General features: G+C 47.9%; 1 long non-coding RNA gene across 3 annotated transcripts, besides 8 other annotated features; it reads right to left on the bottom strand.

The window, feature by feature from the left end:
- Nucleotides 425-929: an enhancer, noted in NCBI's record as "H3K4me1 hESC enhancer chr12:4136755-4137259 (GRCh37/hg19 assembly coordinates)". NCBI's record gives its function as "activates a minimal SCP1, AML or CMV promoter by ChIP-STARR-seq in naive H9 embryonic stem cells {active_cell/tissue: H9 hESC(naive)}" and the evidence as "EXISTENCE:reporter gene assay evidence [ECO:0000049][PMID:30033119]".
- Nucleotides 930-1,435: an enhancer, noted in NCBI's record as "H3K4me1 hESC enhancer chr12:4136249-4136754 (GRCh37/hg19 assembly coordinates)". NCBI's record gives its function as "activates a minimal SCP1, AML or CMV promoter by ChIP-STARR-seq in naive H9 embryonic stem cells {active_cell/tissue: H9 hESC(naive)}" and the evidence as "EXISTENCE:reporter gene assay evidence [ECO:0000049][PMID:30033119]".
- LINC03141 (long intergenic non-protein coding RNA 3141) lies at nucleotides 1,860-16,609 on the bottom strand. Of its 3 annotated transcripts, XR_931568.3 has the most exons (5): nucleotides 15,404-15,498; nucleotides 15,015-15,108; nucleotides 14,732-14,826; nucleotides 7,437-9,536; nucleotides 1,860-2,296 (listed from the first exon to the last, which is right to left on the bottom strand). It is a non-coding gene; the product is annotated as a long intergenic non-protein coding RNA 3141 (long non-coding RNA). The 3 variants fall into 3 exon arrangements; XR_007063171.1 differs by lacking the exon at nucleotides 15,015-15,108 and having other exon boundaries at nucleotides 15,404-16,609; XR_007063170.1 differs by lacking the exon at nucleotides 15,015-15,108 and having other exon boundaries at nucleotides 9,379-9,536; nucleotides 15,404-16,609.
- Nucleotides 2,460-3,057: an enhancer, noted in NCBI's record as "OCT4-NANOG-H3K27ac-H3K4me1 hESC enhancer chr12:4134627-4135224 (GRCh37/hg19 assembly coordinates)". NCBI's record gives its function as "activates a minimal SCP1, AML or CMV promoter by ChIP-STARR-seq in naive H9 embryonic stem cells {active_cell/tissue: H9 hESC(naive)}" and the evidence as "EXISTENCE:reporter gene assay evidence [ECO:0000049][PMID:30033119]".
- Nucleotides 3,058-3,653: an enhancer, noted in NCBI's record as "OCT4-NANOG-H3K27ac-H3K4me1 hESC enhancer chr12:4134031-4134626 (GRCh37/hg19 assembly coordinates)". NCBI's record gives its function as "activates a minimal SCP1, AML or CMV promoter by ChIP-STARR-seq in naive H9 embryonic stem cells {active_cell/tissue: H9 hESC(naive)}" and the evidence as "EXISTENCE:reporter gene assay evidence [ECO:0000049][PMID:30033119]".
- Nucleotides 4,252-4,847: an enhancer, noted in NCBI's record as "NANOG-H3K27ac-H3K4me1 hESC enhancer chr12:4132837-4133432 (GRCh37/hg19 assembly coordinates)". NCBI's record gives its function as "activates a minimal SCP1, AML or CMV promoter by ChIP-STARR-seq in primed H9 embryonic stem cells {active_cell/tissue: H9 hESC(primed)}" and the evidence as "EXISTENCE:reporter gene assay evidence [ECO:0000049][PMID:30033119]".
- Nucleotides 4,848-5,445: an enhancer, noted in NCBI's record as "OCT4-NANOG-H3K27ac-H3K4me1 hESC enhancer chr12:4132239-4132836 (GRCh37/hg19 assembly coordinates)". NCBI's record gives its function as "activates a minimal SCP1, AML or CMV promoter by ChIP-STARR-seq in naive and primed H9 embryonic stem cells {active_cell/tissue: H9 hESC(naive and primed)}" and the evidence as "EXISTENCE:reporter gene assay evidence [ECO:0000049][PMID:30033119]".
- Nucleotides 9,028-9,623: an enhancer, noted in NCBI's record as "NANOG-H3K27ac-H3K4me1 hESC enhancer chr12:4128061-4128656 (GRCh37/hg19 assembly coordinates)". NCBI's record gives its function as "activates a minimal SCP1, AML or CMV promoter by ChIP-STARR-seq in naive H9 embryonic stem cells {active_cell/tissue: H9 hESC(naive)}" and the evidence as "EXISTENCE:reporter gene assay evidence [ECO:0000049][PMID:30033119]".
- Nucleotides 9,624-10,221: an enhancer, noted in NCBI's record as "NANOG-H3K27ac-H3K4me1 hESC enhancer chr12:4127463-4128060 (GRCh37/hg19 assembly coordinates)". NCBI's record gives its function as "activates a minimal SCP1, AML or CMV promoter by ChIP-STARR-seq in primed H9 embryonic stem cells {active_cell/tissue: H9 hESC(primed)}" and the evidence as "EXISTENCE:reporter gene assay evidence [ECO:0000049][PMID:30033119]".
- Nucleotides 16,610-24,930: the final 8,321 nt, after the last annotated feature.

Here is a 24,930-nt window from a genome sequence, read left to right as displayed (position 1 = left end):
ATTCGTGTGCTAAAGCCTTGTGGCAGGAGGGATCCTGCATTCAAGGAACCAGAGAAAGCCACCCACGCCGGAGAGAGACAGGAGGAAAGGAAAAGAGGAGGCAAACCAATCATGCAGAGCTCCGGAGAACATGAGGACTTTGGTATAGTTCCAAAGAGCAATGGGAATCCACTGGAAGGTTTTAAGATGAGGATTTCAAGTTCTAGTTTTTACTCTAGAAATATCATTAGCTGAGGCATGGGGCACGAATTAGGTGGGGAGAGGGTGAGGAAGAGTGGAAGTGAGAAGACAAGTTCAGAGATCAGAGGTGGTGGAAAACTGGATTATAGTGATGATAGTGGGGAAGAGCAAGTCATCAGATTGAAGAGAATTCATCCATACTGAACTGTCTTCAAAGCTCAGTTTTCTCATCCCTGACACATTTTCTCCCAGTAAAACGTGCATACCACATTGTAAACTCCAGCTTTTTCCAAGTCTACCAACGCTTGGCCTGGTCTGTGCTTGCTGTGCTTGCTCTCCTTCATTCTGGAATACTGGCAGAGTGGACGTGGATGCGGATCCACTGAACTGTAGGTCTCCTACATGTGTCTGTATCTTCCTGCCTTCTCTCCCTTCCAGTGACTCAACCCACCATCTCTGTCCTTACCTCCTTGGGCCATCTTTTGGAGCATGTCCTGGCTTTTCCGTGGGACTGGTCCCTGTGGCTCCCCATGTGGTTCCACAGTGGAGGTTCAGAGCCTACAGTATGGACTCTGTGGGCAAAGCCTGCAGTGTGGACTCTGGGCAAAGCTGGTGGGGAGGGTGTGGCCAGCGTGAGGCCCCATTTCATTTCAGTCCTGTCCATCACTGCTTGCAGGCCCTGGGCCAATCTTGCCCCCCTCCTGCATATTGTTCCATGTGAGCCCTGGAAATGTCACTGGCCTGTTTCACTTTCAGTTTCCTGGTACAAACACACACCCACGCGTGCACACACACACCCCCACCCATGTGGCTGCCTCAGGCTGTGGTGCAGCGGGGATGCATCACCTGCTCCTTCAGGTCACCCATGTGGGAAATGAGCCTTGTATAACTGAGAAATGTGTGCTTCTCAATATTTTGCAAAGCTGCCCACCCTTACAAAATCCAGTTTTTTCATTGAACTCCTCTACTGAACTCTGAGGGAGGGTGTCTCCACCTAAAAAGGGAGTGCTGTGGGTACCTCTGAGCCATGAATCCAGTCTGGCTGGCTCTCCACAGTAGGAATCACAGTGACTCCCCACTGTGCTGGCTGAGGGACAGTTAGCTTCACACCAGGGAAAAGTCCCTGGTCTCCTGGCCTGCCTCCTATGGCCCCTGGCAGTCCTTGGTCCCAAGAGAGCTTGGCGGAAAGGATGCGAAGAGCTCCAGGCACCCAGTCATCCCTCTGGGAACCTCCACTCCTGAAGTGTGTGCAGGAGAAAGAAGGGGGTGCATCCCCTTTTCTATAAAAGACACTGTTTGTTTAAAGTTCTGAGACCCACTCAGCGGCCGCTCGCCAAAACACAAGAGAAAGTAGGGTCTCTGAGGGGCACATCTCTTTGCTATCCACCGGTTCATAGTGCAATTAGCAGAATGGCCTGGCCCTTCCCACAGTCTCCATTCATTCTTTCTTTCCTTTATTCATTTACCAGAATAATGAGTTACCCAAGAGCAGGGACCATATCGTATTCATCTGTGTATTCCCATCACTTAGCACTGGGCCTGGCACCAGAGAGACGCTTCAGTGAATGAATTCATTCAATACCCATTCGCCAAGTGCTGTGCAAGATCCTGGAGGGTACAAAACAAGTGTGGGACACAAATCCTTGCCTTCCAGGAACTTACAATCTAGGCGTGGGCACTCAGTTGTGCAACAGTGATTTATTGAGCTTTAACTTCGGGCCAGGGCAGCAGTAGGCGCCGCTGAGAAAAGATGAATGAACAAGTCCCCAAACCAAAAATAAGCAGCCCACTCCTCCAAAATAAACACCCACTCCCAGCATTAAGTTTAAATTACAATCACTCAGGGCTCAGGACTTTCTTGTTGGCAGCAGCTGTTGGCTTCATAGCTTTGACCATTCTGCCACCTCTCTGGGATCCCACAGCCCATCTTTGAGTGTCTGTTTTCAGTTCAAGACAGCTAGCTCATGCCAGCACTGGCAGAGGTGAGTCCCCAACTGCACACAGGCACCTACTGGTATAGGTCTGGCAGATTTGAGTTCGGATAGAGTTGCCATCACTTCCTCGCTGTCTGGAGCTGCACGCGTTAATATGCCATTCAGAGCCCCAGTTTCTTCATCTACAAAGATAACAACAAACATCCATAAAGCATTGACGCCGTGCCAGGCTCTGCTTTGACGTATTCAGTCCTCCCAGGAAGAGCAAAATTAAACCCAGGGAAGCGGCTCTCAGTGAGACCCCCTTGAACCCAACCCTGGCTTCAGTCTGGCTCCCGGGTCTCAAGCCCTTCCTTCAAGGCCTCTCGCTCACATGCCAGTAGCACAAAAGCGGAGCACACCTCCTGGCTTCCCTGCTCTTACGGAAACACACATCTTTCTGTCTGTTTCTCCAGGCCTTGACCTTAAGCCCAGGCCTGAGAGTCCAGGCACGTCCTGACTCTCCTCCCCGCTGGGCTGCCACTCAGAGAAGTTTCCCTGAACTCCCCCTCCTCTTTCCTGGGCACGCAGCCTCGGGTCAGCGGTCAGCGGTCAGGTCCTCTGACCGGTCTCTCAGCGCTCCCCTTTCCTAGTCCTGCCCCAGCAGCCTTTCAACCTCAATCGACTCCTGCTGTTCTCTCATCTCCAGTCTCTCTCTCAGTTTCCTTTGCCCCTTTCATCCCTGCCCCCAACTCGGCTCCCACATCCTGCCCTGGGGCCCTCTCCCTGGCCCCAAGAAGTCTGTCTCAGTATTGTTCTCCACTTCCAACATTAGCATTCCCAAAACCCACATTTGCATTTTGATGGCTCCTGTCCCAGCTAGACGGGGGTACAGTTTGATGCATATATATTTTGGAGAGGAGAGCTTTCCCCTGCACAGTGTCTAATTTTCCACTTTGATTTGATTTCTTTGGTTCTGGCCTGATGTATTCTGGGCCAAGGCAGACTTTAGCCAGCACCTTTAGGCTATGCTGCGGGTTATAAGATAACGGAAAGGCTTCGCTTCATGGGAGCTCAAGGGAACAGAAGTCTCACTTCCCACGCCTCCCAATCCTGCTCGGAACATCAAAGCTTCCTGCAAGCTCGCATCTGCAACCAGTGCTCTCCCCTCCCAGGCTCAAGGGCCTTGGCCTGGAGCATTCCCCAGCACAGCTGCAAAGGCCGGAGATTGGGGCTCTCTGTGGTCACCCCTGGCTCGGACGTCCACCTGAGTTATGGACAATCTCGGGCCTTGATTCTAGGATAAGCCACCAGAAGTAAGCAAGAAGGATGGGTGGGGTAACGAGGCCACCTTAGCCAATTGCCCCACATTTTCCCACGTATAGGATTTCACTCTGCTTTATGGGATGGAGAAAGTGCCAAGGGGCGAGACTGCATTCTCATCTAGGGCCTGGGGTTGGGGCTTTCAGTTTTTATATGCCTCCGGGTTGCTGGTGTTTAGCCAGACTCAGAACGGCTAAGTGCCAGGCAACAGAAAGGAACCTCCTGCCAGGTCTCCAGGGGTTTCAGGGCCACTTTGACAGAGGTTTAGGGTATTGCGATTTGCATGGCAGGATTTCGTAGTGTTTCATCCCAACTTCAGAGTGATTTACAATGCCTATTCCATTGAGAAGCTCTCAGCATTCATTTGCACCTACAACTGAATTCTTCTCCTTTTTTTTTTTCCGATGGAGTTTGGCTCTTGTCGCCCAGGCTGGAGTGCAATGGCGTGATCTCAGCTCACCGCAACCTCCGCCTCCCAGGTTCAAGCGATTCTCCTGCCTCAGCCTCCTGAATAGCTGGGATTACAGGCACGCGCCACCACACCGGGCTAATTTTATATTTTTAGTAGAAATGGGGTTTCTCCATGTTGGTCAGGCTGGTCTCAAACTCCCCACCTCAGGTGATCCTCCCTCCGTGTCCTCCCAAAGTGCTGGGATTACAGGCGTGAGCCACCACGCCTGACCCGACTGAGTTCTTTCAGGCAAGTCCCTAAATAACATCTTATACATATGGCATGCCCATAGATACTGCAGCACTGTGGTGTGCAGAATCAGAGGCAGGCAGTTGCAAAGGGCCAGGATAGAGACTGTGGAGGCTCTGACCGCAGGGAGGCAGTGGGTCAGACTGACAAAACAAGTGGCGAAGGAGACACAAGAAAATCGCAATTCCTCCTTCTCAGTCAGCATTTAACTAACACTGCTTGAAAGAGTTCTGTATTCCTGGTGCTGTGCTAATGACTGGGATGGATGCAAAAATTAATAAAAGCTGGTCAGCCCAAATCTCAAGGAATTTATGTTCTAGTGAGGAATAAATAATTGCATGAGTTTTTTTGCTTTTTTTGTTTGTTTGTTTGTTTGTTTTGAGATGGAGTTTCGCCCTTATTGCCCAGACTGGAGTGCAATGGCACAATCTCGGCTCACCGCAACCTCCGCCTCCCAGGTTCAAGTGATTCTCCTGCCTCAGCCTCCCTAGTAGCTGGGATTACAGGCATGTACCACCCTGCCTGGCTAATTTTATATTTTTAGTAGAGATGGGGTTTCTCTATGTCTGTCAAACTGGTCTTGAAGTCCCGACCTCAGGTGATCCGCCTGCCTCGGCCTCCCAAAGTGCTGGGATTACAGGCATGAGCCGCCGTGCCCGGCCGCATCATAGTATTTATAATTACTGCCTACTATCACTTGCTCGTTTTCATGTGCGTCCGTGTGAAGAGACCACCAAACAGGCTTTGTGTGAGCAACATGGCTGTGTATTTCACCTGGGTGCAGGCGGGCTGAGTCCGAAAAGAGAGTCCGCGAAGGGAGATAAGGGTGGGGCCGTTTTATAGGATTCGGGTAGGTAAAGGAAAATTACAGTCAAAGGGGGTTTGTTCTCTGGCGGGCAGGAGTGGGGGGTCGCAAGGTGCTCAGTGGGGGTGCTTTTTGAGCCAGGATGAGCCGGGAAAAGGACTTTCACAAGGTAATGTCATCAGTTAAGGCAAGGACCGGCCATTTACACTTCTTTTGTGGTGGAATGTCATCAGTTAAGGTGGGGCAGGGCATATTCACTTTTGTGATTCTTCAGTTACTTCAGGCCATCTGGGCGTGTACGTGCAAGTCACAGGGGATGCGATGGCTTGGCTTGGGCTCAGAGGCCTGACATTCCTGCCTTCTTATATTAATAAGAAAAATAAAACAAAATAGTGTTGAAGTGTTGGGGCAGCGAACATTTTTGGGGGGTGGTATGGAGAGAGAATGGGCGATGTTTCTCAGGGCTGCTTCAAGCGGGATTAGGGGCGGCGTGGGAACCTAGAGTGGGAGAGATTAAGCTGAAGGGAGGTCTTGTGGTAAGGGGTGAGATTGTGGGGATGTTAGAAGAAACATTTGTCATATAGAATGATTGGTGATGGCCTGGATACGGTTTTGTATGAATTGAAAAACTAAATGGAATAACAGAAGGAGAAAAACAGGTATAAAAGGTCTAAGAATTGGGACGACTCAGGATGTCTGATTAGAGAGTGCCTAAGGAGATTCAGCATAGTCCTGCCAGCAAAGATGATTTATTTACTTCAAGAGTTAAGAGTGGCAGTTTGGGGATAGCACCAGGAGATATCAGCTGTGATGGCTTGGAAAAACAGTGTAAACTGGCAGTGTAAACAAGAGCAGGGCATGTATGAGTAGTTGAGAACGGTGAATAGGAGTATGACCAGACAGAAAATAGTAGGGATGACAATTTTTTTTTTTCTTTGAGGCACAGTCTAAGTTGGTCTGGTGTCTGGAATGAGACTGGGGCCTAATAAAAAGGAGCGTCTATACAGGAGCTTAAATGGGCTGTACCCTGTAGCATTCTGAGGATAGGCCTGAATTCTGAGAAGGGAAAGTGGTAAAAGTATTGTCCAGTCCTTTTTAAGTTGGTGGCTGAGCTTGGTGAGGTGTGTTTTTAAAAGACCTTTAGTCCATTCTACTTTTCTTGAAGACGGAGGACCGTAAGGGATATAAAGCTTTCACTGAATACTAAGAGCCTGAAAAACTGCTTGGCTGATTTGACTAATAAAGGCTCGTCTGTTATCAGACTGTATTGAGGTGGGAAGGCTAAACTGAGGAATTATGTCTGACAGAATGGAAGAAATGACTGCGGTGGCCTTCTCAGACCCTGCAGGAAAGGCCTCTACCTATTTTGAGGGCCTCTAAAAGTATTAAAGCAGCGGCAGCCACTGCACGCAGACATGAGGGCTAGGCTAAAACAGTAAGGTCAAGTTGTTTGGACAGAAAGGCTACAGGGTGTGGTCCTGGCTCTTGTGTGAGAATTCTGACTGAGCTAACCATGCCTAGGAAGGAAAGGAGTTGTTTTGTAGAAGGTGCTTGGGTTTGAGAGATCAGTCGGACACGATTGGCAGGGAGAGCACGTGTGCTTTTATGAGAATTATGCCGAGATAGGTAACAGATGAAAAAGAAATTTGGGCTTGATTCAAGTAATGGGGGCTGTCTGTGAAGCTTTGCGGCTGTACAGCCTAGGTAATTTGCTGAGCTTGATGGGTGTCAGGGTCAGTCCAAGTGAAAGCGAAGAGAGGCTGGGATGACGGGTGCAAAGGAATAGTAAAGAAAGCATGTTTGAGATCCAGAACAGAATAATGGGTTGTAGAGGCAGGTATTGAGGATAGGAGAGTATATGGGTTTGGCACCATGGGGTGGATAGGCAACAAAACAATGTGGTTGATAAGGCGCAGATCCTGAACTAACTTGTAAGGCTTGTCTGGTTTTAGGACAGGTAAAATGGGGGAATTGTAAGGAGAGTTTGTAGGCTTTAAAACGCCATGCTGTAGCACGCGAGTGATAACAGGCTTTAATCTTTTTAAAGCATGCTGCGGGATGGGATATTGGCACTTTAAGTTGAGTGGGGTAAGAGTGATTAGGTTTTAATGAGATGGTAAGGGGTGCATGATCGGTCGCCAAGGAGGGAGTAGAGGTATCTTATACTTGTGGGTTAAGGTGGGGGGATACAAGAGGAGGACGCAAAGGAGGCTTTGGATTGGGAGGAAGGGCGGCAATGAGATACAGCTGTAGTCCAGGAATAGTCAGGGAAGCAGATAATTTAGTTAAAGTGTCTCAGCCTAATAAGGGAACTGGGCAGGTGGGGATAACTAAAAAGGAGTGCTTAAAAGAGTATTGTCTAAGTTGGCACCAGAGTTGGGGAGTTTTAAGAGGTTTAGAAGCCTGGCCGTCAATACCCACAACAGTTATGGAGGCAAGGGAAACAGGCCCTTGAAAAGAGGGTAATGTGGAGGCTACTCAGCCTCCGTATTGATTAAGAAGGGGACGGGCTTACCTTCCACTGTGAGAGTTACCCGAAGCTCAGCGTCGGTGATGGTCTAGGGGGCTTCTGAGGCGATCGGGCAGCGTCAGTCTTCAGCCGCTAAGCCGAGAAGATCTGGGAAGGAGTCAGTCAGAGAGCCTTGGGCCAGAGTTCCAGGGGCTCTGGGAGTGGCTGCCAGGTGAGTCGAACAGTCCGATTTCCAGTGGGGTCCCGCACAGATGGGACGCGGCTTAGGAGGAATCCCGGGCTGCGGGCATTCCTTGGCCCAGTGGCCAGATTTCCGGCACGTGTAGCAAGCTCCTGGGGGAGGAGGTTCTGGGGGAACACCTGGCCGCTGCGGTTCAGGCGTTTGGAAGTTCTTGTGTGCTGGAGATGTGGCTGGGGTTTGTCTCACAGTGGAGGCAAGGAATTGCAACTTTTTTCTATTATGGTACACCTTGAAGGCGAGGTTAATTAAATCCTGTTGTGGGGTTTGAGGGCCGGAATTTAATTTTTGGAGTTTTATTTAATGTTGGGAGCAGATTGGGTAATAAAATGTATTTTGAGAATAAGACGGCCTTTTGACCTTTTAGGGTCTAGGGCTGTAAAGTGTCTCAGGGTTGCTGCCGAACGAGCCATGAACTGGGCTGGATTTTTATATTTGATGAAAAAGAGCCTAAACGCTTCTGATTTGGGATAAAGAGAAAGGAGCATTAACCTTGACTATGCCTTTAGCTCCAGCCACCTTTTTAAGAGTAAATTGCTGGGCAGGTGGGGGAGGGCTAGTCACGGAACGAAACTGTAAGCCGGACCAGGTGTGAGGAGGGGAGGTGATAAAAGGATTATAGGGTGGAGGAGCAGAGGCTGAGGAAGAATTGGGACCTAGCTCGGCCTGGCGAGGAGCAGCCTGGGAGGAAGGGAGAGGTCAGGTGGGTCTGTAGAAAAGGAAGATTAGAAAGATTCAGCGACGCTTGGGGTTGGTACTGAGGGGACAGGCGGGAGGGAAAGAAGGAAGATTTGGGACGAGTTGCACTGGGCACAGAGACTAGGACGGGACTGATGTGTAAAAGAATGCCTGGACGTCAGGCACCTCAGATCGTTTGCCTATTTTATGACAAGAATTATTTAGATTTTGCAGGATGGAAAAATTCAAAGTGCCATTTTCTGGCTATTTGGAACTACTGTCGAGTTTGTATTGGGGTCAAGCGGCATTGCAGAAGAAAATAAGGCATTTAGGTTTTAGGTCAGGTGTGAGTTGAAGAGGTTTTAAGTTTTTGAGAACACAGGCTAAGGGAGAAGAAGGAGGAATGGAAGGTGGAAGCTTACCCATAGTGAAGGAGGCAAGCCCAGAGAAGAGTAGAGACACGGAGAAGGGGTGGGGGGTTCTTGCCCTCCAGAAAAGCAGAGAAGGAGTTGGGGCACGGAAATAAGGGATTGGGGCACAGAGATAAGAGGTCAGGGTGCGGAAATAAGGGATTGGGGCACAGAGATAAGAGGTTGGGGTGCGGAAATAAGCTATTGGGGGCTTCTTGCCCCCTAGGAAAGCGGGACTTGCCGCTAAGGGTGAAGGAGAAGGGGTTGAGGGGTACTTGCCCCTCTCCCAGAAAAGCAGAGAAGGGGTAGAGACAAGGAGAGAAGGGGTTGAGCTACTTGCCCCTACCCCAGAAAAGCGGGACTTGCCGCTGAGGTTGAAGGACCAAGGCAGGCGTCCCTGCGTGGTCTGACACCCTTGAAACGTGGGTGTATAATCAGAGAGGCGTCCCTGCACTGATTAAACACCAAGGGAAGGCTGCCTTCCCAGTCCGTGACTGGCGCCGGAGTTTTGGGTCCACGGATAAAACGTGTCTCCTTTGTCTCTACCAGAAAATGAAAGGAATTGAAATTAAGAGAAGGGAGAGATTGAAGAGTGGAAAGGAGAAAGTGGTTGAGGGACAGTGAGAGAGGTTGGAGAAGAGAGTAAGAAGAGGCCGCTTACCTGATTTAAAATTGGTGAGATGTTCCTTGGGCTGGTCGGTCTGAGGACCTGAGATCATAGGTGGATCTTTCTCACGGAGCAAAGAACAGGAGTACAGGGGATTGATCTCCCAAGGGAGGTCCCCCAATCCGAGTCACAGCACCAAATTTCATGCGCGTCTGTGTGAAGAGACCAACAAACAGGCTTCGTGTGAGCAACATGGCTGTGTATTTCACCTGGGTGCAGGCGGGCTGAGTCCGAAAAGAGAGTCAGCGAAGGGAGATAAGGGTGGGGCCGTTTTATAGGATTCGGGTAGGTAAAGGAAAATTACAGTCAAAGGGGGTTTGTTCTCTGGCGGGCAGGAGTGGGGGTCGCAAGGTGCTCGGTGGGGGTGCTTTTTGAGCCAGGATGAGCCGGGAAAAGGACTTTCACAAGGTAATGTCATCAGTTAAGGCAAGGACCGACCATTTATACTTCTTTTGTGGTGGAATGTCATCAGTTAAGGTGGGGCAGGGCATATTCACTTCTTTTGTGATTCTTCAGTTACTTCAGGCCATCTGGGCGTATACGTGCAAGTCACAGGGGATGCGATGGCTTGGCTTGGGCTCAGAGGCCTGTCACTCGTGTAGGGTGCTTTTACATGTATTACTTCAAACTTTCCCAGCAAGCTTATATCCTTTTGCCCGTTTTACAGATGGTAGAAAAAGGCTCACATTAAAGAGCCTGTGGTCACACTGTTAGAAAGTTGCTGAGCCAGAATTCAAACCCATTCCAACTTCACTACTTAAGCTCCTGACCTGGCACCACACTGCAAGGTGAGACCAAACTCTAATACCCAAGGACATGAAACAACAAAGTGCTATGGCAGTTCAGGTAGGAAGAGCCCACATCTGGCCATGGGAATCAAGACTGGATCCATAAAAGACACCTGTTTTAACAGTATCCTGAAGGGGCAGGGGCAGAAGTCTGAAGAGGGCATGGGGCACAAAAGCACTGACATGCACTGGGGAAATAGTGAGTGGCCCTGGGGTATAGGGTCTGAGAAGAGGAGAGGACAGGTTGGCACCAGAATGTAGAGAGCTGTGCCTGTATCTAGGCACAACTCTATAGGCATTAGGGGACCACTGAAGATATTTTGAGTATGGTCGTCCTGTAAGAAAAGAGATATTTAGGAAGAGAAATCAAGATGACACATGTAAGGTAACCTGGAATAGGAAGAAACTAAAATGACAGAGGAGATTCAAGCCATTAAAATGGTCCACACGGCTGGGCTGGGCACGTTGGGACCAACCCCACAACCAGGCTGTTCTCTTGACCCTGGGTCTTTGTCCGCAAAGCACTTTGGGAGGCCAAGGCAGGCAGATCATTTGAGGTCAGGAGTTCAAGACCAGCCTGGCCAACGTGCTGAAACCCCGTCTCTACTAAAAATACAAAAAATTAGCCAGGTGTGATGGCGCATGCCTGTAGTCCCAGCTACTCAGGAGGCTGAGGCAGGAGAATTGCTGAAACTCGGGCAGTAGAGGTTGCAGTGAGCTGAGGTCGCGCCACTGCACTCCAGCCTGGGCGACAGAGCAAGACTCTGTATCAAAAAATAAAAAAATAAAATAAAATGGTTCAAGCAAGGGGCAAAGAGATACTGAACAAAGTAGCCTGAGAATGGCAAGGTGGTTTTAGGTATCTGAAGTTACTGGAGATGGAAATGGGGATCTGGAGCATGGAGTGAGGTGGGAGCTGCAGATACAGGCTTGGAAATTGCAAGTAAAAAGATGATGAAGAAAGCCCTAGGAATGGATTCAATGGGTAGCAGAAGAAAAGAGAGGTGGGGATCCAATCTAGACTCAAGGGGAAAAGGGGGAAGGCAAGAAACAAAGCAGGCAGAAAAGACACAACGGGACAGGTAAGGGGAGAAGCAGCTTGGGACACCGAGTGAGAAGAAAAATTCCCAAGTGGCTGACAGTGTTAAATATGTCTTCTCCTGATGGAGTCCTTGCTGGACCAAACTTGAGGCAGGTTCCCGAACGTTCTTCAAGGCCCATCTGTGCACTTCCTTGTAAAATCTAATTTTAGCAAGAGCCTTGCAAAGTCAGTTTAGCAAGAACCTCCCCACCACCCCACCCTTCAATATCTGATTAGGCTCCTCCTCCTCCACCAGGCCCCAGGTGACATCTCATCACCCTGGCCCATCTTCAGTGTGAATCCTGCTAAGTTGTTCAGCTGGAATCCCCTTATGTTTCCTCTTAGTAATTTTCCACCACTGACCCCCACCCTGCTCCTTGGCTATACATTGCTGCATCAGAATTGAGCCCAACCTCTCCCCGCTCCCTGCCCACTGCAAAATTCCATTGCCATGGTCCCTACCCCTGTCTCGATGGTCCTGAATAAAGTTTTCATAAGTGTCATTGAATAATTTTTTAACAAGCCTCCCTACCTGAGTCACACCCACCAGGTTAGGTATGACTCCCAGACTCTCACCTGGCCTTGTACTCTTTGAGTTTCAGTGGCCTGTTTTGTAAAAGGGGGATGATAGTGCCATGCCGCGTCATTGCTGTGTGAAACCGCACATCGTAGGTACTCAATAAATGGTAGCTCCTGATGTTATTGTTTATTTACATTATTCTTCCCCAAGTTTAGGAACTTCTTGAGATCAGGGACCAGGTCTTTGGATCCATTTGACAACTACCACGTTATAGTCATTCTAAATGTGTTCCAAATGCTGAGAAAATGGAATGAATGAAGATTTCCTGTTTCTATCTGGGCTGCTGCCGTGGCTGTTTTGCCATGTTGGTGTTTTATTACTGTTAGGTATTGGTCAAGATAGAGCTCTGGAGGCTCTGAATAGCAGGACTTTCTGGTTCTGTTTCCATTTCTCTCTACAGAATATCAACCTACCACTTTGATTTATGGACAGCGGACAAAGACCCAGGGTCAAGAGAGCTGCCTGGTTGTGGGGTTGGTCCCAGGGCCAGGTTCATGGTAGGGGAGTAGAGACTTGGAGTGGATAACTGGATTTTCTCAGACAAGGTGGAGGGAAGGACTTGCTGCTTTCTAGACTTCAAATCTCAGTCAGAGAGGGCTGAGTGGGAGAGGCTTGGAGAAGCAACAGAAGGCATGCCCATATGGGTACCTACCCACGGCCCTCTAAAGAAGGGGGGAGGTGAGAAGGCAGAGATTGAGCAGGACCGAGGCCTTCGGGTGTCTTGGCCCCACCCTGAATCTGCATCCAAGATGCCTTTTTTCTCAGCCTTGAAGCAAGGATAGAACAGTCCATTCCAGGGGTTTCAGAAGGATTCCTTCCCTCTCATCAGCATATCTTGGCATGTCCTTGCCGAAGCTGGTTCAGGCAATCTTTGCCCTGGAAGCCATCTGTTAAAATCCTGTCTAGTATGATGGGATTTTTTTTTCCTTCTGTTTGTTTGGGTGAGGGGTAAGAGGGGAGGAGGAGTTGTGAAGGGCACAGAAGTGTTTGAAAGCCCAGCCTCCCTCCTCTGTCTGGGCTGCTCCAGGCTTTGATAATTCCAGGGGCTGAGATAGCTACTAGACTATCAGGCCCGCCTGCCCTGAGCTGGCGGCTGGGGCTTTCATCTGTTTATGGCCAAGGACAGCAACATGGAGGCCAGTCCCCAGGCTGGCTAATGAGTAATCAGAAGCCTTGTCTGTACAAGGTCTTGGGACATGCCCTGGGGTGACCTTCAGGTCGCTGGGAGAGGCCTCATTCATCCTGAAGCCTGGGGCCAAGGCCAGGGGGCCGTTTCCTCTTTGTCACCTCTGCTACGGCCACCCACTGGAGTCACATTGTGTCCCCCGACCCCCACCTTCGCCTAAATGGCCTGTTGGCTTATTTAGGAAAGTTATTCCAAAGGCCTTCCTCTTCCATTCTGCCTTGGTTACAAAGAAGCGAGCTGTGGTGCATGCAATCCCTGCTTCCATTTCACCCACCAAGCTGCAGTCTCTCTAGCTGCCCCCTTCCTCTCCCAACCCTGAGAGTTCGTACAATCCCCCTCCAGGGATGATGAAGAAGCCTTTGAAAGGAGCACACCATAGTGAACGGTTACAACATCCTTATCTTCCTGCCTTGGATCAGATAACTTCATTCCTAACTCTGTAAAGGCCTTGAATGGTTGCCCCTGGTCCATAGGCAGGGGTCCGTGCTCTTAGAGAGACGTCCAGCAGATGAGCATAGGTCGTTGATTCCTCCTCTTCTTCCTTCAGCAGAGTTCACGTGCCTGCTTTGTGTGGGAATCTATTAGGGTGTGTCTGCTTCTTGCTTGCAGCTATGGGGCCCTGGTACAGTTACCTAAACTCTCTGAGTCTCCACGTTTTCCCCTCTGTACAAAAAGGCCCATAGCACTACCTCATAGGGCTTGAGAGGAACTCCAACAAGATGCAGATAGCAAGTGCTAGACAATGAAGGGGCATTAATTCTGTGTTTTGGGGCCACCTGTGTGTCCACCTCCCCATCACTAACTCTGCTCTCCCCACCAGAATACACTCAGTAGCATGAAGTATTTGGACAATGTTTTCCAAGTGAATGAATGAATAAATGAATAAATACATTGCTAATGGCAGCAAATATATGTGGACATCTGTTCTCTGAGAATAAATCAATTCAATGATTATGGAATTTCACAGCGTTGTAAGCAGTTGAACGAGGCACATGCAAACCATCCCCTGAAACAAATGGAATTAAACCTAAAAATGTATCAAGACTTTCCCTTTTTGTGTGTTACAGTTTTTAGGGAGATTAATATTTGAGAATAAGCTATGGCCATTGACAAAACTTAACTTTTAATTTTTTTGTAGAGATGGGGTCTTGCCTAGTTTGCCCAGGCTGGACTCAAGCTCCTGGGCTCAAGGGATTCTTCCATCTGGGCCTCTCAAAGTGCTGGGATTATAGGCATGAGCCACCACACCCAGACTTTTATTTTGTCGCATCTATAATAGATGTTCAATAAATTTCTATGGAATGGAGAAATGGATGAATGATTGGGAAAAATTAACTATCAGCAATGGGAATAATGTTTATTAGAACTTCTGGGGGTTCGGATACTTCTTAGGGATGTGGGTAGCAGCTTGCTGTGTGGTCTTTGCTATGCCTCTCACCTTGTCTGCCTCTGCCTCTGCCCCTTACCCCTCCATCTGAGTCATAGGGCAACATAATCCTCTATCTCTGTGTCTTCTTACAGGAGCACAAGAAGGCAAGTACAACTAGAGAAATAGGCCTTCTGGCAATCTCCTAAGACAGTCTCATATAAACATGATCACACATCTTCCCAGGGCCTTTAGAGTCAGCAGAGTAAGGGGGAGAAAGAGAGAGGAGGAGGGAAAAAAATTAACTGGATAAGTCACCCCAGGGCAGTGAGGCCCAAGAAAGCACCTTTATCTCCACTCCTGCTATGCTTCATTGACTTCATTCTTGTCCTGTCTCCAGGACTCCTTTACTGCAGTTAGGCTTTCTCCTAGGGGCTGGGCCTGGCAACACAGAGAAGAAGCAGGTGAAACATTAGTGGATTAACTTGTGAAGCTATCCCCACCCCACCCCCAACTCCCCAACCCTTGCCACTTTAAAGCAAAAACTGCATTCAGGAAAATCTGACAGTTTCGTTGGAATAAGTGGAGGGAGAAAGCGGCTGGCAGGGCCCTGGGCCAGTTCAGCCTACCAGTGTTGTTTCTCTGCTGGGAGTCAGAACTTCGAGATGGATCCTGCAAAGAGTTCCAGGAGTGCTCCGTGGCTGGCTCTGGAGCTTGGAGTAGCTGCATGGAGATGGCAGAAGCTCAAAGCCACTTCCTCCAGGAAGCCTTCTGTGATTCCTCCAGCCAGCTACTCCTCTCCCAAGTCCTATAGAGCTTTCTTGTGCCTCATGGAGCACTGAATACCTTGTCTTTCATATTCCCATGATTGTATAGGTCTTTTCTCTCTTATAGTCTGGGAGCTGCTAAAGGGAACTATCTTGATCTGACTAATCTTGGTCCCTTGAGTGCCCAGCAGTGCCAGTCCTGCAGGAGGCACTTATAAAATAATTGTTGACTCAATGAACTGGACTCTCACCTCTCCAAGTTGCATCCTCCCCTTTGTTTCTTCTTCTTCTTCTTCTGCTTCTTCTTCTTCTGCTTCTTCTTCTGCTTCTTCTGCTTCTTCTTCTTCTTCTTTTTCTGCTGCTGCTGCTTCTTCTTCTTCGACAGGGTCTTTCTTTGTCACCCAGGCTGGAGTGCAGTGGCTCAATCTTGGCTCACCGCAGCCTCAACCTCCCAGGCTCAAGTGATCCTCCCACTTCAGCTACCTGCCAAGTAGCTGGGACTACAGCCATGTGCCACCGCACCCAGCTAATTTCTGTATTTTTTATAGAGATGGGTTTTCACCATGTGCCCAGGCTGGTCTCGAACTCCTGGACTCAAGGGATCTGCCCACCTTGGCCTCCCAAAGTGCTGGGATTACCAGCATGAGCCATTGTGCCTGGCCCTCCTCTTTGTACCTTCTAAGGTTAAGGAGGAAGGATACCAGGAAGATGGAGCTGAGGTTACAGCTCTTCAAATGTGTGTTTTGGTGGAGATGGTACCTGCTAAGCAGGCCGCTTGTGTGTGAAATCTCAGGTTTGGTGAGAGCTCTGTGCCCTTAGGGGAGGGAAGTCCGGGAAGTCAAACAACCAGAGGAGCATTGATCTGAGTGGAATTCAGGTGGGTGGCCATGCTTGGGTCCCAATTTCTGGTTTCTTGGCCTGTGTTCTTTGCAAAGTCATTCTGCCTTGCTTTATGAAATACTAGCTTGAATGAAACTGCTTTTCACAGCTCAATTAGTGACTTCAGAGTGAGGCCCTTATTTAACTTTAAAGAAGCAGTCTAGTAAGGTGGATAGCATCACAGGTTCTAGAACCTGAATTCAGCAAAGTCATCACTAAATAGGCATGGAAATTTAACCAAGTTAGTTAACCTCTCTGTGCTTATACAAAGAAGGATAATAACAGAACCTACCTCACAGAATAGTGAGGATTGAAGGACTTAACACATGTAAGGCCCTTAGAATTGTGCCTGGCATTGCTCACTGTTTGATGAAGAAAGCATCAGAATCCTTCAGTTCAGAACCATAGGCTTTCTATCCAAAGTACTGGGGTATTGGCTCCCCACGACCCATGTTGATATCCTATTAATCAAGTCACTTTTTCTGGCTCTTCATTGAATGCAAATTGCACAAGAAATCTACCTTCTACCACTATTATTAACCTCCAGCCTGTATCTCCTGTGACTCCTGGCCCTGACTGGGTCAAAACAGATAGGCTCAGCTGGGGGAAAAGACTGGCTCTATTCAGTCCAAGCACGCCTTGACCTGGGTCAAGCTAGACAAACACCTGACTTCCGGTGAGGAAAGGTTATAACATTCCTGAGGCTTGAGTGGGCTCCGCTGTGTGTTGGAAACAGTCTGTTCCACTCACTGCCTAAAACCACTCATCAGCTGACCGGAGTCTTCCCAGCAAACTTCCCACGGTACCCACCTCTGTTGGAGGAGCTCTAGGGCTGTGGTGCACAAACTCTCAAGCCTGAAGTTCAGTCACATACCTGGCTGTGTTAAACTTCAGGTCTGGTTATATAATACCTTCCTGCTAGAGAATGGGTGAAGGAAAGGGAGCTCAAAGCTCTCGGGCAGGTTGAGAGAATGGTCGGGGCTGTTTGCAGAACTCTTCTTAAAATGTATGGCCAGGCGCGGTGGCTCACGACTGCAATCCCAGCATTTTGGGAGGCTGAGGCAGGCAGATCACAAGGTCAGGAGATTGAGACCATCCTGGCTAACACAGTGAAACCCTGTCTCTACTAAAAATACAAAAAAATTAGCTGGGCGTGGTGGTGGGTGCCTGTAATCCCAGCTACTTGGGAGGCTGAGGCAGGAGAATCGCTTGAAACTGGAAGCCGGAGGTTGCAGTGAGCCGAGATTGCACCACTGCACTCTAGCCTGGGCAATAAGAGCAAAACTCCGTCTCAAAAAAAAAAAAAAAAAAATTAGCCGGGCTTGGTCGTGGGCACCTTTAGTCCCAGCTACTTGGGAGGCTGAGGCAGGAGAATGGCGTGAATCCGGGAGGCGGAGCTTGCAGTGAGTCAAGATTGCGCCACTGCACTCCAGCCTGGGCGACAGAGTGAGACTCTGTCTAAAAAAAAAAAAAAAAAAAAAAAAAAAGTATATAGTTGGCTGGGCACAGTGGCTCACGCTTGTAATCACAGCACTTTGGGAGGCTGAGGCAGGTGGATCATGAGGTCGGGAGATCAAGACCATCCTGGCTAACACGGTGAAACCCGGTCTCTACTAAAAATACAAAAATTAGCCAGGCGTGGTGGCAGGCGCCTGTAGTTCCAGCTACTCAGGAGGCTGAGGCAGCACAATCGCTTGAACTTGGAAGGTGGAGGTTGCAGTGAGCCGAGATCGTGCCATTGCACTCCAGCCTGCCTGGGTGACAGAGCGAGACTCTGTCTCAAAAAAAAAAAAAAAAAAAAAAAAAAAAGTGTATATAGTTTAGGGGTGGATGCATAGAGCTGTTTCAGAAGGAAATCCAATGGAGCTGTTGATAAAGCTATTGATAAAATTGAATGCCAGATAGCAAGATAGCCAAGTTCTGATAGAAGTTAAGCACTTATTTTATTCAAAGCATGCGTTTGGCATTTGTGCATTACCTTCACCACAATCCTGTGAGGTACAATGAGGAAACTGAGGCTCAGGCAGGTTGATGTGCTTACTACCATCATACAGTTTGTAAGTGGAAGAGTTTTGAACCCGTCTCCCAGCTCCTGTCCAGTGCTTACTCTGCTATTCACATCTCTTTATCCTGTAAGCGACCCTGGAGCTCATTCTTGCCAGCCTCTGGCCAAGTGAGTTTTGTAGAACATTAACCTAATGCGGTACCTCCTAAAAAAGGGTTCTGTGTCGGCCAAGCCCCCACTGGAGATTCAGAATGCACATTAGAGGCTCTGAGATGTCCTGCACCAGCCGCCTTAACCACAGAGTGCTGTTTTCTTACAACAACCATCAACCTCCTTAGCAACCGTCCTTTGGAACATGTCTTGGGAAATATTGATCTAGTCTTATTCACTCAATTATTGATGAGGACATTGAAGCACAAAGTGTTGAAATTACCTGCCTGAAGGCAACCAGTGAGTTAGTGGCAGAGCAGGGATCTGATCTAGGGTTCCCGTCTCTCAGCCAGAGTTTTTTCTGTACAGCTGACAACATTTATTAATATTGTTTGTTGTTGTTGTTTTTGTTGTCGTTTTGAGATTCAGTCTCACTCTGTCGCCCAGGCTGGAGTGCAGTGGCACAATCTCGGCTCACTGCAACCTCTGCCTCCCAGGTTCAGGTGATTCTCCTGCCTCAGCCTCCTGAGTAGCTGGGATTGCAGATACCTGCCACCACGCCTGGCTAATTTTTGTGTTTTTAGTAGAGACGGGGTTTTGCCATTTTGACCAGGCTTGTCCCAGACTCCTGACCTTAAGTGATCCGCCTGCCTCAGCCTCCCAAAGTGCTGGGATTACAGGCATGAGCCACCACGCCTGGCCGACCACATTTATTAACATTGTATAGACCCAGTGCGGGCCAATCCACAGTAATGAAAAGACATAATTTTACCTGTAGAGAAGGCTGGAGACTCCACAAGTTCTTATGGCCTCTGACCTTATGAACAGGTCTCAGAAACATTTACGGTCAACCTGTCAGCAAAAACACATCAAGGGCAACTGGATGCACAGCTGCTGAAGAGGGGTGAGATCAAAGGAAGAGTTAGGAGTTGGGCTGGAGGATTCTAGGAGGGATTTCTGAAAGGTTTAAGCGTGGAGGCAGATTTTGAGAGACCAAGTCAGCTTTTGAAGGAAAATAATTACATGTCAAATGTGAGAATTTTACTTTGTTCATATAGGAAAATGATTTGATCCATCTCCTGATGTTGTCGTAGGAATATTGGACAGATGTGGCTCCGACAGTTTGTAAAGATTAGCTGACTCTTCAAGTACCTTTATGTCTTACCTCCAGATGTGCTAACTGAATATTTTCCATGGACCTCCGTGAGCTATCATGACTTTCCTGGCTCCAATGTGAGGCATTAAGGATTCAGGGGCTATAGAAGTACACTTAGAATGAGAAAGATCTGTGAGTCCTGGCTCTGTGATTTCAGGTCCTTCAGTTTAACTTTCTGGGCCTTAGGTTTCTCAATGGAAAAAGAGAGGATTAGACCCAAAGGTAGGTCTACTGACAGGCAGTATCAGAGTCACCTGGTTAATTAAAAGGATAGGTTCCAGCCAGGCACAGTGGCTCAGGCCTGTAATTCCAGCACTTTGGGACTCCAAGGCAGGTGGATTGCCTGAGTTCAGGAGTTCAAGACCAGCCTGGGCAACTTGGCAAAACCCCATCTTTACTAAAAATACAAAAATTAGCCAGACATGGTGATGCATGCCTGTAGGCCTAGCTACTTGGGTGACTGGGTAGGTAGGAGGATCACCTGAGCCTGAGAGGTTGAGGCTGCAGTGAGCTGCAATGGGAATGCACTCCAGCCTGGGCAACAGAGTGAGACCCTGTCTCAAAAAAGGAAAAAAAAAATGGATAGGTTCCTGTGCCTTCCCAAGACCTACAGAAGCAGAATTTCTAGGAACCTATGATGTTAACAAGGGCACTGAATTTTCTGAGTTAGGCTTAGGAGTCATTGGACTAGCTTGTTTTTGAGCCCCTTTCAGTTCTCAAATGAGTTGTTTAAGCTTACTGAATGTCGGTATTCTTGTCATAAAATAAAACTATTAATACTCATTTTAATACCTACAAGAATTATATCAACATATTGAGGACTTTGTAAACTCTAAAGCCACTTAAAATTGCATATTACTTTTCTAACAGAAATAATTTTGATGTGTAAAGACTCACTTTATCAGGAAAATATATAAAGTTTGCATTCACATCAGTGGGATTTTTCTACACAGTATCGCATAAAACCTTAAAATTGAGCTGTTCCCAGCCGGGTGCAGTGGCTCATGCCTGTAATCCCAGCACTTTGGGAGGCCGAGGTGGGTGGATCATGAGGTCAGGAGTTCAAGACCAGCCTGGCCAAGATGGTGAAACCCTGTCTCTACTAAAAATACAAAAATTAGCCGGATATGATGGTGGGCACCTGTAATCCCAGCTACTCTGGAGGCTGAGGCAGAGAATTGCTTGAACTCAGGAAGCGGAGGTTGCAGTGAGCCGAGATCGCACCACTGCACTCCAGCCTGGGTGACAGAGTGAGATTCCGTCTCAAAAAAAAAAAAAAAAATTGAGCTGTTCCCAAGTGCAACTATAAAACAGAATGCTTTTGGCTGGGTGCGGTGGCTCATGCCTGTAATCCCAGCATTTTGGGAGGCCAAGGTGGGTGGATCATCTGAGGTCAGGAGTTCAAGACCAGCCTGGCCAACATGGTGAAACCCATCTCTACTGAAAATACAAACAATTAGCCGGGTGTGGTGGCGCGTGCCTGTAATCCCAGCTACTCGGGAGGCTAAGGTAGGAGAATCACTTGAACTAGGGAAGCAGAGGTTGCAGTGAGCCGAGATCATGTCACTGCACTCCAACCTGAACAACAGAGATTCCATCTCAAAACAAAACAAACACAAGAATGCTTTTTCTTGGTAATATTGTTTAACCTTTTCACACTTTTCCTGCTTCCGTGTCTCTTACTTTTCCAGGTTACCCAGAGGAAAAGGTGTTAAAATGGTTTACACAATGTCAGCACTCCTCAAAGTGTGTCCTATGGAATATTAACAAATGTTAGGGGGAAAAGTTTCTATATCAAATATGTTTTGGAAATGCTCTGCCAACCAGGTTTTATTAAGAATTATAAGAGCTTTTACTATGCTGATATGAACGGTGGATCTCCAAGAAGGCAAAAAGTGTAATTAGCATGGCTGAACAGATTTGATCAGGGAGCACTTTTACGGACAGCCGTCTCTCAAGACTAGGGAAATTTTACATTTATGTTCTGTCCAGTTCACGGCTTATTCCTCCTAGGAGTCCTGCATTTTCAAATTAGGATAGCTGGGAAGGCAAGGCTCAGTTCTAAAGCCATGGTTCTAAAATCTAGCTGTGTGTCACCTGGGCAGCTTTTAATAAATATGAATCCCTGGGTTCCACCCAAGGCTGACTCAGTGGGTTTGATGCAACCAGCCCCAGATCATCTTTGGACCTGTGATTGGGAGCCCTCCAAGGAGTGAATCACTTCAGGTATCTAAGTGGGAGGAATTCTTTTGGCTGAAGCGGGTAGAGAGGGGGCAAGTGTGGTCCTCCAGCATTCCTGAACTTATACCGGGGTCAGGGTATGAGCTGGCTCTCCTGAGGCTGGACCCACCCTGAAGGAAGAGGAGACGACTCTAAACTTCTTTAAACACACTTGAGAGTGGTTCTTGGGGGATCTGGAGCTTTGAATCGTGGTTCACATTTGAACATAGCTTCGCTGTGTGTCCATGGACCACTCTGGTGACCTTCACTTTTCTCCTTGCAAATTGGTAGTACTCATATACGCCCCTGGGCCCTTCATTAGAAACACAGTAAAAACAAACAAGGCAATAGACAGGGCTACATTTTTGGCTTTTGCAAAGACAATTGTTAGTGATGATATTATGATTATTGTTTGGGACTTCTATTACAAATTAGCATTTGAGTAACAGACACAACCATTTCCTGTTCTTCAGAGAGAGAATCTTTGAGCTACCTGATACAGTCTAAAATACATAATGAATCAACATTATATATATATATATATTTTTTAATTAAGCAAAGTATTTATGAAACAACTAGGCTGCAGAGGGCAAGATGGAGCAGAGACCTGAGGCAACTGTCCTGATCAATCAGGCCAGGCATTACCCGATTTGGGGTGGGGATTATCTGGAAAATTACCTCAGCTGTCCATTTCATTTTCAGTGCTTTCTCAATGAACCATTGTTATAAACGTTTTTTAGTATCTTGAACCTGTCATTGAGATTGGGGTTTTGGCAGTTCATAGACTCGGAGTGGAGAAATAATTCCATTTTTTTCTCAGTGCATGACGTCCACTGGATTAAACGAATTGGAGGAAGACAATGCCTCTCTCAAAGAAAACAAAACAGGTGGCCGGGCATGGTGGCTCACGCCTGTAATCCCAGCACTTTAGGAGGCCGAGGCGGGTGGATCACCTGAGGTCAAGAATTCGAGACCAGCTCGGCCAACATGGCAAAACCCCACCTCTACTAAAAATACAAAAAATTATTCAGGCGTGGTGGTGCACGCCTATAGTCCCAGCTACTCGGGAGCCTGAGGCAGGAGAATCGCTTGAGCCCAGGAGGCAGAGGTTGCAGTGAGCCATGATCTCGCAACTGCACTCCAGCCTGGGCCACAGAGTGAGACTCCATCTCAAAAAAAAAAAAAAAAAGAAAACAAAACAAAACAGGTTATGAAATCACTATTTACTAAATGCCCATGATGTAAGAAGTACCAAACTAGCTCCTTTTGTAAGTGTTATTTCATTCATTCCTCGGAATAACTTTGGAAGATACTAGTTTAAAATAGGAAAGGAAGTGAGACCTGGAGATGTAAACAAACCTGCCCCGGGAGGACAGTTAGTAAGTAGAAGAGTCAGGATTTGAATGTGAGGCTTTTTCCATTGTGTGCTGCTACTTTAATTTCTAGCTCTTTCCTTCTAGAATATGAATCTTTTAAACGTAGAAATCTTGGCTGGGCGTGGTGGCTCACACCTGTAATCCCAGCACTTTGGGAGCCTCAGGCAGGTGGACTGCCTGAGCTCAGGAGTTTGAGACCAGCCTGGGCAACATGGTGAAGCCCCATCTCTATGAAAAAAGCAAAACTTAGCCGGATGTGGTGGTGCCACCTGTGGTCCCAGCTACTCAGGAGGCTGAGGTGAGAAGATCCTTTGAGCCTGGGAGGTTGAGGTTGCAGTGAGCCAATATTGCACCACTGCACTCTAGCCTGAGTGAAAAAAGGAGACCCCATCTTTTAAACAAATAAATAAATACATGAATAAATACATAAACTTATAAATCTCAGGGGAAGAATAATATCTATTCCCCATTCCTGTTTCATATGGAGACAATACAAGACAGGAAGTTCTTAATTAAGGTCTAACTGTGCGAGAAGAGCAGAACCCGGGCATGCTAATGCTAACCATTAATGATCTCTTTCACCTTATTTTCCTAAAACCAAAAGAGAGGCTCAATCATACCAGGTTCCATAGCAGGCAGTTTCTCTGCAGAGTCTGGCAAGATCCTAACTGGTATAGAAGTAAGAATGTCCTCAAGCAAATTCACTTTTCCACATCTGATATTGCCTGTCTGGAAAGAAGGGTTGTTCGGTCCTTCTCCAGCCTGGGATAATGTCTCCAAAGCCAGCTGGGAGCATTCCCATGAAGCCTGGTCCCTGGAGATTATTTTGCAAGAGCTCAGTCCTCTGTGGTTCTCTGCCACTGCCCGGGAAAGGCTTCCTCCCCAGCCACTGGACTGTTGCCTGCTTATTCTCCTCACCAGGGCTGTCTCTCCCAGGACCCCTTTGTTTGGGGTGTGCAGAGGATGGTGAAAGAGAGAACGCAATTAGAGTAGAGTAAGGATTGCAGTGAACCCGTTGTTAGAGGATTCTTTGAGGAGAGAAAGGAAGAGGGAAAAAACTGTCTATATCTGGTGCAAAGAGTGTGCCATCAAAACCATTTCTTGGCTGGGCGTGGTGGCTCACGCCTGTAATCCCAGCACTTTGGGAGGCCAAGGTGGACAGATCACGAGGTCAGGAGATCAAGACCACCCTGGCTAACACGGTGAAACCCCGCCTCTACTAAAAATACAAAAAAAAAAAAAATTAGCCAGGTGTGGTGGCGGGTGCCTGCAGTCCCAGCTACATGGGAGGCTGAGGCAGGAGAATGGCGTGAACCTGGGAGGCAGAGCTTGCAGTGAGCCGAGATCGTGCCACTGTGCTCCAGCCTGGGCAACAGTGTGAGACTCCATCTCAAAAAAACAAAACAAAACAAAACCAAAAAAACCATTTCTCCAGACCCATCACCTTGTAGGGAAAAGAGGACCCTTCACGCACACCCATGGGTGGCTGTGTGGATGGGAACCAGGAAGACACACTCCAAATTGGCAATGGTGTTGCCTTTGGGGAGAAGAGTGGGGAGCAGGACATGGGGAAAGGATAGAAGACTTCAGGCCTGTGGTAGAATATTTCATTTTTAAAGAAAAGCATTTTCAGGAAGAAGAAGAAGAAGAAAAGGAGAAGGAGGAGGAGGAGGGGAACGGTGACTCTGCTTGATAATGAAGAAGGTTAACTCTCCTTAAAGGTTAAACCTCTGACTCTGGACTTTTCAGAAAAAAGGAGAATTCAACATTGCAGATCCAGCACTAGTGCTGGACTTGGCAGTGGTCCCAGTGTCCCCTTTAGGGAGGTTGTATTAGCTGTGCGAGAATATATAGACGGAATGGGAAATTGTACCCCGTCCTCATAGTTGGGCCTTAACAGCCTCACCTGTGAAATGGCAATAAGAATAATTTACTTGTCTGAAGACAGGAGGTGGTCATCTTGTTTGTGGAAGGGAGAATTCATCTGAAGGG

This window comes from Homo sapiens, chromosome 12, assembly GCF_000001405.40.
Source record: "Homo sapiens chromosome 12, GRCh38.p14 Primary Assembly".
In the NCBI taxonomy this organism is placed as follows: Eukaryota; Metazoa; Chordata; class Mammalia; order Primates; family Hominidae; genus Homo; species Homo sapiens.
This window is presented reverse-complemented; position numbering and strand designations above follow the sequence as displayed.